General features: G+C 38.6%; 1 long non-coding RNA gene across 1 annotated transcript in view, besides 1 other annotated feature; it reads left to right on the forward strand.

Moving 5' to 3' along the window:
* DISC1FP1 (DISC1 fusion partner 1) overlaps positions 1-13,504 on the forward strand; it is a 663,821-nt gene that overhangs the window by 517,490 nt on the left and 132,827 nt on the right. The gene's annotated exons all lie outside the window — the stretch shown is intronic.
* Positions 6,194-6,932: an enhancer, noted in NCBI's record as "NANOG-H3K27ac-H3K4me1 hESC enhancer chr11:90508083-90508821 (GRCh37/hg19 assembly coordinates)". NCBI's record gives its function as "activates a minimal SCP1, AML or CMV promoter by ChIP-STARR-seq in primed H9 embryonic stem cells {active_cell/tissue: H9 hESC(primed)}" and the evidence as "EXISTENCE:reporter gene assay evidence [ECO:0000049][PMID:30033119]".

Consider the following 13,504-nt stretch of genomic DNA (forward strand, 5'->3'; position numbering starts at 1 on the left):
AGGAAGGGATAATAGGCTCTCCAGGTCCAAAAGAGGGCACATACAGTCTATTGGTTGCATGAAGCAGATGCATGAAGTAGAACGAGAAGAATATTAGCAAGAACAGAAAATGGGGTTCCTGCTTCCAAGGCATACAAATATAACCTACTAGGAATTATTGCCCAGTGACTGTCTGGAGCATTAAAGTACCAGAGAAGAAACATAGAAATGGGGTACCCAGAAGCTAATTTAGCATGGGAAGATACAGCTAATAGTTCCCCTGTTCCTACATTCCAGTAAAGTCAAGACTTCCAGGATGGTTCTTTTGTTGTATAATTTCCAGATAAAGCCAGACTCTCCAAGCAGTATGGAGCTTGACCGAGTCTGGGGTGAAATTTTAAAGTGGCTGTGACCTCTGGCTTTTGGTTACTGTGACCCCGAGTCATCAAGTTGAATTGATAGCCATTCTGGAAATGTACTGATCTAGTGGGAGCCTAAATTGCAATTATAGATTAATAGGAAATGTTTGCAAATTATTGAAACTATTTGCTACATTTTTGTAATATTATATGCCTCAGAGTCATTGTGAGCACTATCTATTGCCTAATATTATACTCATAAACAATTAGTTAAATGTGAGGAATGTAAAAGACTTACAGATCAGCCCCTTAGTTCACTACTCAGCACAGTATTGCACACCATTCAGACATAATAACACATTTTTTCAGTCTTTTTCTTTTAAGATTCATTTATTTTTATGCATTTAAGCATATACAAATCACCTTACATTTTTCAGAGACATAACCGGGGGATTTTACACACACAGGGAAGCCGCTTCAAACGTAGAGGTGTTCTAACCAATTTCCTCATCTCTCAAAGAGCACCCATTACTGCATTTATGATGTCCAATCAAATTTCGGTACCTCATTTGAGATGAGTACAATAGGCTCACCCTCTCTGTTCTTTAGTAGCAACACTAAGTGGCAAGCTGTCAGAATTTTTGAAAGAGATCTTTTTTAGGAGGTGTCATCAAGATGGTTGAGTAGAGGCATTCAGCACTCATGTCCTCCACAAAGAAGAACCAAAGCAACGAATTGATAACCACATGTCCAGTAGAGCTTCTGAGAAAAAACACTGGAAAGGAAGGAATTAACAAAGATCCCGATCTCGTGAAGCATGGAAACTTAACATGGCAGCGTAGAGAGGGAAGCAAAGCTGCCTGCCACATTCGCACAACGGATGCCTGCAGTCCTGATACAGGAGAGCCCTACAGCCCTCACAGGCCCTCAACTTCCTGGAGTCCCTGTGACTGCATTGTCCCAGAGAGAAAAATTCATGCTAGGCCTTCCTTATCCTTGAGACCCAGGCTGCTGCTTCATAGCACCATTTTGAGAGATGAGCAAACATCAGACTACATCTTGTCCTGGGGCACAATAGCATCTGCATCTCCAAATCCCTGGAACTCCACTAACATTTCCCCACATACACCGAAAGGGCTGGAAGCGTTCCAACACCAGATGGACCCAGCAGTGCAGTTACCTTCCCACCATCCCAGCCCATACTGTACTCGGTACCCCAAAGAAGAGGCTGTCCAGTACATAGGGGAGGCTGTCATCAAGACAAAAGGAGCCATAGTACCTGCTTCTAAAACCCTAAGGGCCACCTTCTTAGGGCTACAAAACACTCTATCTGCTACAGCAGCTGGCTGCTGTGCACCTGCCTGTTGCCTAGAGACTGAGAACCAGCCCACATGTGACCTGTCACAGCCACCACTGAAGCTCAGGCTTGCTGAGCAGGGGTTGGAGGACTGTTCACCTGGTCCAGGACCCAATGGCTTCACTGCTGAATTCTACCAAACATTTAAAGAAGAACTGGTAGCAATTTTTCTCAAACCTTTCTGAGAAATAGACGCAAAGGGAATACTTCTAAACTCATTCTACAAGGCCAGCATTACCCTGATTCCAAAAGCAGACAAGGACACAACAACAAAAAACTACAGGCCAATATCCCTAATGTACATAGATGCAATAATTCTCAACAAAATATTAGCAAACTTAAATCCAACACCACATCAAAAACATGACACACCATGATCACACAGGTTTTATCCCAGAAATGCAAGGATGCTTCAACATACAAATATGGTTTTTTGTCCTTTATTCTGTTGTTGTGAGATATCATGACTCTCTCTATAGATACAGAAAAAAAATACCATTCAACATTCCTTTATGATAAAATCTCTCAACAAATTAGATATAGAAGGAACATACCTCAACACAGTAAGGGTTATATGACAAATCCATGGATAACATCCAATTGAATAAAGAAATGCTAAAATATTTTTCTCTAACAACCAGAACAAAACAAAGATGTGTTCCTCTACCCCACTTATTCAATGCAGTACAAAAAGTCCTAGACATGAAAATAGGCATGAGAAAGAAATAAAGAGCATCCAAATTAGAAAAGAGAAAGTCAAATTTTCCCTCTTTGCACATGACACAGTCTTATATATAGAAAACCTAAAGACTTTGCCAAAAAGTTCTTAGAACTGATAAATAAATTCACTAAAGTTGCTGGTTACAAAATCAATATACCAAAAGCAGTAGCATTTCTATATACCAATATGAAATACCTGAGAAAGCGATTTTGTTTATTATAGCAACAAAAAATCCCATAGGAATAAAAGTAATCAAGGAGGTGAAAGATCTCTGTGATAGAAACTATAAAACATTGATGAAAAAATAGAAAAGAACATAATAAAATTGGGAAGACATCCCATGATCATCTATCAGCAGAATTTATGTTGGTAAAATGACCATACTATCTAAAGCAATCCATAGATTCAATGCAATCCCTATCAAAATACCAATGGCATCTTCACATAAATAGAACAAAAATTCTAAAATCAGTAAGGAACTACAAAGTCCCTTAATTGCCAAAGGAACACTGGACAAAAAGAACAAAGCTGGAGGAATTACATTAACTGACTTCAAAATACACTGCAAAGCAATAGTAACCAAACAGCATGCTATTAGGATAAAAGCAGACACATAGACCAATGGAATGGGATAGATAACCCAGACATAAATCCACATACTCACAGCCAACTAATTTTTGACAAGGCTGTCAAGAACTAAGAACATACACTGGGGAAAGGAGGATTTCTTCAATAAATGGTTCTGGGAACACCGGATACCCATTTGCAGAAGAATGATCCTAGACCCTGATCTCTCCTCATATGCAAAAATCACTCAAAAGAGATTAAAGACTTAAATGTAAGACTACAAACTATAAAACTATATTTACAAAAAGTAGGAGAGGTTCTTCAGAACATTGGTCTAGGTAAAGATTTTATGGGTAAGCTCTCAAAAGTACAGGCATCAAAAACAAAATTTGACAAATGGTATTATTTACAACACAAACGTCTTCACACAGCAATAAAATCTATCAACAGAAGAAAAAGACAATCTGTAGAATGGGAAGAAATATTTATAAACTAGTCTTTCCACAAGGGACTAATATCCATAATACACAAGGAACTAACAATTCAACTGCAAAAAAAAAAAAAATCTGACTTAAAATTCAGCAAAGGAGCTGAATAGACATTTCTTAAAAAAAGAACAAATGACCAACAGGTATAAGAAAAAATGTTCAATGTCACTTATTATTCAAAGAAATGCAAATCAAAATGACAACGAGATATAATCTCACTATCCTGGATGAAGAGAAAAGGAAATTCTTATACGTTGTTGATGGAAATGTAAATTAGTACAGTCATTAAGAAAAAAAGCATGGAGGCTTCTCATAAAACTAAAGATGGAAGTTCCATGTGATCCAGCAATCCCACTACTGTGTATTTACAATATTACAGGAAAGAAAATCACGGTATCAAAGAGAGAGCTGCACCCCATATGTTTCAGCACTATTTACAATAGTCAAGATAGAGTCAACCTGTGTTCATAAAGAGATGAATGGATAAAGTGTGGTATATACATGCAATGAAATACTATTTATCCTTGTTAGTCTTCTATCTTGTTGATCTGTCTAATACCCCACTATTATTGTGTGGGAGTCTAAGTCTCTTTGTAGGTCTCTAAGAACTTATTTTATGAATTTGGATGCTCCTGTATTAGATGCATATATATTTAGAATAGCTAGCTCTTCTTGTTGAATTGATCCCTTTACCATTATGTAATGCCCTTCTTTGTCTCTTTTGATCTTTGTTGGATTAAAGTCTGTTTTGTCAGAGACTAAGATGGCAACCGCTATTGTTTTTTTCTTTCCATTTGCCTGGTAAATTTTCATTCCTCCCTTTATTTTGAGCCTGTGTGTGTCTTTACAGGTAAGATGAGTCTCCTGAATATAGTAACCAATGGGTTTTTACTCCTTATTCAATTTTCCAGTCTGTGTCTTTTAATTGGGACATTTAGCCCATTTACATTTAAGGTTAGTATTGTTATATGTGAATTTGATCCTGTCGTCATGCTGCTATTTGGTTATTTTGCACATTGGTTGATGCAGTTCCTTCAAAGTGTCATTGGTCTTTATACTTTGGTGTGTTTTTGCAGTGCCTGGTACCAGTTTTTACTTTCCATATTTAGTGCTTTTTTTAGGATCTCTTGCAGGGCAGGCCTGCTAGTAATGAAATCCCTCAGCATTTGCTTGTCTGGAAAGAATTTTATTTCTCCTTCACTTATGAAGCTTAGTTTGGCTGGATATGAAATTCTGAGTTGGAAATTCTTCTCTTTAAGAATGTTAAATATTGTCTCCCAATCTCTTCTGGCTCGTAGAGTTTCTGCTGAGAGGTCTGCTATTAGTCTGATGGGCTTCCCTTTGTAGGTGACCTGGCCTTTCTCTCTGGCTGCCTGTTACAGTTTTTCCTTCATTTTAACCTTGGAGATTCTGATGATTATGTGTCTTGGGGTTGATCTTCTCATACAGTGTCTTAGTGGTGTTCTCTGTATTTCCTGAATTTGCATGTTGGCCTGTCTTGCTAGGTTGGGGAAGTTCTGGATAATACCCTGAAGTGTGTTTTACAGCTCATTTCCATTCTCCCTGTTTCCTTCTGGTACTCCAGTCAATCATAGGTTTGGTCTTTTTATGAAGTCCCATAGTTCTTGGAGACTTTGTTCATTCCTTTTTAAACATTTTTCTCTATTCTTGTTCGCATGTCTTATTTCAGTAAGGTGGTCTTCAAACTCCAACATCCTTTCTTCTGCTTGGTTGATTCTGCTGTTGATACTTGTTTATTCTTCACCAGGTTCTTGTACTGCATTTTCCAGCTCTATCAGGTCGTTTATCTTCCTCTCTAAACAGGTTATTCTAGTTAACGATTCCTCTAACCTTTTATCAAGGTTCTTAGCTTCTTTTCATTGGGTTAGAACATGTTCCTTTAGCTTATCATAGTTTTTGTTACCCATCTTCTGAAGCCTGCTTCTGTCAATATGTCCATAAGATCCTCTGCCCGGTTTTTTTGCCCTTGATGGAGAGACGTTGAGATCATCTGGAGGAGAAGAGGCACTCTGACCTTTTGGGTTTTCAATACTTTTACGTTGTTTCTTTCTCATCTTCATGAGTTCGTCTAGTGTTGGCCTTTGAGGCTGCTGACCCTTGGATGGGGTTTTTGTGGAGGCCTTTTTGATGTTGTTGTTGATGCTGTTGTTGTCACTTTCTGCTTGTTTGTTTCTCCTGCGATAGTCAGGTCCCTCTTCTGTGGAGCTGCTGCAGTTTGCTGGGGGTTCACTTCAGGCCCTATGCATCTGATTCGCTCCCGTGCCTGGAGATATCACTCAAGTAAGCTGGAGAGCAGCAAAGATGGGTGCCTGCTCCTTCTTCTGGGACCTCTGACCTCAAGGAGCACCAACCTGATGCCAGTAGGATCTCTCTTGTGTAGGGTGTCTGACAACCCCTGTTGGAGGGTATCACTCCGTTGGGGGGCATGAGAAGTTGGATCCGATTAATGAAGCATTTTGTCCCTTGGTGGAGGGGGTATGTTTTGCTGGGGGGAAAGCCACTTGTCTGGGATGCCGGGATTCCTCAGAACTACCAGGATGAGAGGCTAAGTCTGCTGCTTTGCAGACTGTGGCCACCTCTTCCCCTAGGGGTTCAGGCCCAGGTATATTCAAATTCTGTCCCTGAGCCTCTGGCTGGAGTTATTGGAGAGACTGCAAGGAAGCCCCACACACTGAGGAAAGATGTGTCAGGGTTAGACCTGAAGAGGCACTCTGGTTTCAGATTGCCACAGCTGGTGTGTTGAACTGTGGGGACAAGTCTTAGGACCAAGCCATCCAGCCACCCTGGCTCCAGTAGGGAAAAAGCACAGCCTGGAGCTATAGAAATGGGTGCCCCCACTTCTCCTGCCCAGGGAGCTTAGTGTGTTCGGCAGTTGCTAGCCCCAGTGCTGGCTGCTGCCCCTCCCCCAAGGAGCTCAAACAGCTTAGACAGAGGTCAGCTGCAGCCTGTGTTGGTCGCCCCTCCTGCCGGGAGTTCAGTAGGCTTAAGCAGATTCCAGCTGAGAGGCTGCAAGAATTTGCGAGTTCCAGGGTTGGGACGCTAGGCCTTGGTGTGAGATCACGAGTGTGAGATCACGAGTGTGAGATCATGAGTGGGATCTTCTGATCTGTGGTTTGCACAATTCAATGAGAAAAGCACAGTTTCCCTGGCTGCGTAGCCAGCTCATGCACTGCCTCCCTTGGCTGGGAGGAGGGGTTCTCCTTCCCCTCGTGGCTCTCATGTAAGCTATAGTGTAGCAGGAGGAATCATAGACAAAATCCCTCAGACAGCGGATTGTGGAAGGAAAGAGCTTTATTCCGCTGGGAGCATTGGCAGACTCATATCCTAGAAATCGATCTCTCTGAATAAGTAATTCCTGTCCCTTTTAAGGGCTCACAACTCTAAAGGGGCTGTGTGAGAGGGAGGTCGTGATTGATTGAGCAAGTGAGGGGTATGTGACTGGGGGCTGCGGGCACCAGTAATCAGAATGAAACAACAGAACAGGGATTTTCATAACACTTTTTCATACAATGTCTGGAATCTATAGATAGCACAGCCATGAGGTCAGGGGTTGAATTTTAACTACCAGGCCCGAAATGTGGCACCTGGTTGTCTGACTATGTTTTTCACTTCTGCCTACTGTTTTAACTTCTACTTTTTCAGCAAACAAGAAATTAAGTATAAGACAATATGAGGAGTGTTCTCTCTCAGCACCACACTGCTATTCTTACTCTCCGTGGGTTATGCCAGCCTTCTAGTAAATTCACAAGCTAATTATGTTTGTTTTTTTCCATAAGAGCCTCTGATGGCGGCTACTTCTGTGGGCCATCTTGGCCCCACCCCCTAGGATACTTGAAATATCTTCAGAATAAGGCAAGAATCAGCCTTTCCTTTAAACTCAAGTTTCCAACCCAGTTAAAAAGGGAATATGACAGAAAGTGAAGAGTAACCCGATTCCAAGATTATAAAAGTGAGAAGAAAAAAGAATTATGGTTCACCATAGAGAAAAGGCAGAAAAATCAAACAAGAAAAGAATAGGTAATCAGTGAAAAAGAAAAAAATAGACCGGGCATGGTGGCTCACACCTGTGATCCCAGCACTTTGGGAGGTCGAGGTGGGCGGACCACGAGGTCAGGAGGTCGAGACCATCCTGGCTAACACGGTGAAACCTCGTCTCCACTAAAAAAAAATACAAAAAATTAGCCGGGCTTAGTGGCAGGCACGTGTAGTCCCAGCTACTCACGAGGCTGAGGCAGGAGAATGGTGTGAACCTGGGAGGCGGAGCTTGCAGTGAGCCGAGATGGTGCCACTGCATTTCAGCCTAGGTGACAGAGTGAGACTCCATGTTAAAAAAAAAAAAAAAATACCAGCAAATGTCAATAACCAAAATACATATACTTAAATGTATATGAAGACAAACAGAATGCATATTTTTAATTCACATATAACTGCTTACTCTGGCAAGAGTTACATAACAAGTACACCTTTTTCTCAAGACCATTGCTCCCCCCCATTAAAATATTCTGATGTATAATTAGCAAACAATACCAAGTTCTCTAGTATGATTTTGATGTGTGCTTCATTCAAGATATTTTTGCAAAGTCCCTGATAAAGTTGCATATAAATACTTTCATTCAATGTCTCTTTCCATATTAGTAATAAAAGACTTAAGCTAATTACCTTTCTTTAAGAAAAGATTATATTACACTGATTTATTAAGAATATGAAAATAAAACAAGAAAATTTTGTATATATACCAGTATAATCAGCTCTTGGTCACAATGGGGATATGTATACATATTCCATTAAGAATGGGTAAAAACGACTTTACCGTTATGTGGTATGTGAAGAGATCATCTCCCAAACTTTCTACCTTACCATAAGGATTTAATGATTCATGACCCTGAGTGATGTTTTTGAAATGTTTATGTGGTAGATGCTCTTTATAATGTGGCTTTGCAGCTTCTCCATCAATGAAAAATCTCTTTTCTCATGCCCTTGAATCTGGGCTTCCTTGTGACTTGCACTGGTGATAGAATGTATATGAAATTAAGATGTGCCTATCCCGAGCTTAGACCTCAAGAGGCTGGGTGAGCTTTACTCTTTTGCTTGGACCCATGAGAACACCATGTGAACATACCCAGGTTAGCCTGCTACAGGATTAAAAATTATGTGGTGTGATACCAAATCCTCCCAGTTCACACTGTGTTAGATCAGTCAGTTCTCACAATCAACCAACCAGCTGACCATAGACCCATGAGTGACACTAGTCAAGATCAGGTGAACCTGGCATAAACCCATAGAACTATTCAACTAATCCCAAGTCCAGCAAGGTAAAGCTAAATGCTTGCTTATTCTTTTAACTATAGAGTTTTAGGCGTAATTTTTAATTCAGCAATTGATAACTAATATAGCATAGTGGAATTCTTAACTGGTGATTCAAATCTGGGAACAATTCTCTCACTATTGCCATCACGTCAAAAGAAAACAGTCATATTTGTGGACACATTCAAGCCATAGGTCTAGAGGTAATTTGTTGCTGATGTTCACTGTTTCCAGCATAGTCACTAATTCAATAAGTTTCTAATCCAGTACAGTCACTAATTCTGTGCCACATGCCAGAGATATAACATCAAAATATTTAAATAAGAATATATACCTTAGATATATAAGTAAAAGCAGAAAGTGGTATGTACAGAGAAGAAAAATAAAGCAGGGTGAAATGGGAAAGCCAAGGACTTTCAATTTTGAATAGGGCCATTAGGGAAGGCCTCTTTAAGGAGGCCGCATTTCATAAATGCCTGCAGGAGGTGAGGGAGTAAAGCATTAGGATATCTGAGGGAAGGATATCCCATACCGATGCAAAGTCTATGCAATACTGAAGGTAGAAAGATGTCTGATGTGTTGAAGAAACTTAGAGGAGGCCAGTTAGACCAGCACTGTATGAACCATGGGGAGAGTAATAGGAGATAAGGTCAGAGAAATAATGGGGGTCAGATTAACAAGAAGAGTTTTCAGGTCATTCTAAGGCTTTGACTTTTATCCTTACTTAAATGGGGAGCTGCTGGAGAATTTTTAGTAAAGGAATGTCAGGAATTGGCTTTCATTTTAATAGCATCATTCTGAATCTTGAATTGAAAATGTACTTAAAAGAGACAAGGGCAAAAGTAGAAAGATAAATCAGGAGTCTGTAGCAATGACCCAAGTAAGAAAAGATGATGTCCTGGTTCAGCATAGCAGCAATAGAAAAATGGTCAGATTATGATTACATTTTGCAGATAGGGCTAAGGAATGTGTAATAGATTCAATATGGAGTATAAAGGAAGAGAAGTTTTTGGCCTGAAAAATAAGTAACTGATACATTATTCTTAAATGAAATGAGCTTACAGTGTGGACAAACTGATATCAAATCATAAGACCAGTTATTCTGTTTTTTTATATAGCAGGTAATTTTCAGAATATTTGTCTTTAGATGCGCTGAAAGGTAAAAAAGATTTATAAGGGGATAAGACGAATCTCCATGTCTCCCTTCCCCCATGAGGACTTGATGACTGTAAACTGTTAATAATTCATTTTGATCATTTGAGATACTTTACATTTGAAGCCTGCATATAATGTACTGATTAAATTACATTATGTGTAACTGAGTGGATATATTATTAAACAAATTACCCCTTTCCATAACCATGAACTGTGCATCTGTAGCAAATGGTTGAGCATTTTAATAAGGAGTAGTGTAATTATATTATGTTCACTGCCTTTTGCAGGCTTATTGGCCACATTTTAGAGGTGAATATCTTCATCTGAAGATATTTATTGCAAAGGAAGGGTTTTTAAGTTATAGTCAATACTCATAATTCACTGAAAATATCTCTGCTTACAAAATAAAAGAGCATTGGGGAGGAGCTTTTGGAGAAATTATTAAACTTAGAAAAGATAAATTACCAACTAGCCTTTCTGTTTTTCTTCAGAAATCCCATCCTTAATATCTATCTATCTATCTATCTATCTATCTATCTATCTATCTGGCAAAACAACCAAACCAAACAAAACAGAATCCTCTGTCTTTTCATTGTCAGAAAATAAATAAATAAATAAATAAATAAATAAATAAATAAATAAAACCCTCTAGTAAGGTTTCTAGTAAGTGGAAAAGTGGAAAACTCACTTGGGACTCTGGCACTTGCCATCAATTATTTAATTATTTGTCAGGACTCAGTACAGATTAAAAAAAGAGAGAGAGCAATCCAGCTGGGGTTCCTAATTAAGAGAATTCAAAGACACATTTAATAATTGAAAAAATCATCTTGACTATCCAAATCTATTACCTCAATACAACTTGCAATAAGTCCAAAGCAAGTGTGTCAGAATGAAAGGGATTACACTGTGTTTCAAAGATAACCAAAAGATAAAAAATAAAGAATCCCATATTGGAAAGAAGTTTGGGTTTCGCCCATGCAGAGTTTAATGATGGTTTTTCAGTAATGCACCCAATCAAATACGAGAAAATGGAACATATAACAAGGTGATGAATTTGATGATTTATTGGGAAAATAGCAGAAAGCGATATTACTAAATAGTAGTGTTTTTTTTCTGAATAACTGGTGAAGGATAAAGTGAAGTGAAAAATCAGTGAAGAAAATGACAATTCTACCATTGAAGTACTAGAATACTTTAATTAAAATTCTAATAATTGAACCAATTTGCCCAACTACTCTTCTTTGACAGAGTAAAATATATTTTGATATTTCAGGATGGGTATAGAGCTGTGGCTGGTTCTCCACCTAGACTGTATTTTACAGTCACCTTTGTACTTTCAGATTATATTCATGCTCAGGCCCCACCCTAGATTAATTAAATAGAATCTATAAGCAACAGGGCCAATGCATTAATAGTGTCAAAACTCCCCACGGTGATTCTAATATGCAGCCATGGTTAAGAAATACTGGCTTAGAACACCAGGAAAACTTTGTTCAAAATAGCCCCAGGTATGCCAATGATTGAAGAACCATGTTCAACCTAAGAGACCTTCTCTAAAAATTTATACAGGAGGTTTGAATTTCAGTTATGACAATATATTTGTAGATTTTTTAAATTAGCAAATCCTTTCCTTAACATGCAGCAGAATTCAATCTTCTTAAAAAAATAAGTTTATCTTGAAATGATTTAAGTTTGCAAAAGGTAGTGGAAGAAGGAAGTAAATAGCAGATATGACCAGAAACAAGATCTATAATACTTATGAGACACATAATACATGCACGCACACACACACACACACAATATTAGTCCATATTCACACTGCTATGAAGAACTATCTGAGACTGGGTAATTTATAAACAAAAGAGGTTTAATGGACTGATAGTTCTGCATGGCTGGGGAGGCCTCAGGAAAATTATAATCATGGCATAAGGTGAAGGGGAAGCAAGGCATATCTTACATGGTGGCAGGAGAGAGAGACAGAGCAAAGCGGAAGCTGCCAAACACTTTTAAACCATCAGATCTCCGGAGAACTCACTCACTATTATGAGAACAGCATAAGGAAACCCACCTCTGTAATCCAATCACCTCCTTCCAAGTCTCTCCCTTAACATGTGGGGATTACAATTAGAGCAGAGATTTGGGTGGGGCCACAGAGCCAAACCGTATCACATGTGTGCACATGCACACACACACATACACACACACATCAAACGTAGAAAATATTAGAGTGGTTAACCTTATATCTCATTATTAAGTTGTAGAATGTTAGGAGAAATAGTGTGACTGCTAGAAGAGAAATGAATATCATCAAGAGATAGATAAATGGGACTTTGAGGCATCATGTTTAGGGAGAGTGTTACAGTGTTTGGAATTGTGTGAAAGCAAGGATTATTGGGTCATATTAGGAAGAAGCATGACTTTGCTGTTGCCTTTATTTGGAAGTTAAATATGGTAAAAAGCTATGTGTGGAGTCAGTTTGACAAAGGATGAGCTGAACTGGACTGTTTGATTGTCAGCTGCATTATGTTGGGAAAAATATTTTCCAGAATCCCCTTAACTCTGTGGTTTCAGGTTAGAATTGACAAAAATTGCAGTTGTGTGAGATTTGGCAGGTGAAAGAATAGGACCTTTATGTTTTGCAGGTTGTTGGTTAGAAGCAGTAAGATTCAAATCCAGTTTCCAGAGGACTCTAATGCGTACTTGCTCCTGTCTGGTCTATATCCAGCTTTCCTGTGAGAGTGCCACCCCTATGACCAACAGTGACCTGAGGCTAACCATTACACACTTGTAGAAACTTAGATGTGGAAACCATATAGAGCCAAGAACCTGCCATCAACCTCCCTTCATGGTTCCGCTCTAGCAGCTGGATGTGCCTATTTTTCCAAACTTCCTTACAAACTGACTGTGCCAAAGCTGGGTAGGGATTTTTCTCTGATCCTCCCAATTCCTTTTGATACCTTTATTTTTATAGTTCCTTCACCTATTGTTAAATTTGCATGATAAATTCCTTATTCTGTAACACTCATAGTATTAATAGTACTGATTGAGTCCTGACTGATACATAGTGAGACCAAATGCACTTGAAGTCCAAACTCTGTGAAAATGAAACTAGGAACATCAAAAAACATTAAAAAGAAAGAATATTGAACTTAAGATAAAACACTGTAGATTTAATCAAAAAGACATTTTGAATGAAATCTTCAGTTAACTTCAATTAAATTTGAAGAATGTGACTTCAAATATGGGTAAAATTGAGCACTAGAATGAGCTTGGAAACTATTTTGAGATGGGGCTTACATTTTACTTCATTTTATACAATAAGTGGCTCAACCCTAAAGAAGACAGTTTCCAATAAAACTTTTTAATTGAGCATGTAGCAAGTCACAGGCACACTTACCTGAAAGTCTTTAAAATATCTTCCAAAACAAATGTTTAATCTTAGATAATTATATATTGCTTTTAAAAAATATTCTTGTTGAACTCTTACTGAGATATGAAACAAGTGAGTTATTAAATGTGTTGCCCAGAAAATGTATGCATTGATATATAAAAT

This window comes from Homo sapiens, chromosome 11 (genome assembly GCF_000001405.40).
Source record: "Homo sapiens chromosome 11, GRCh38.p14 Primary Assembly".
Taxonomy (NCBI): domain Eukaryota; kingdom Metazoa; phylum Chordata; class Mammalia; order Primates; family Hominidae; genus Homo; species Homo sapiens.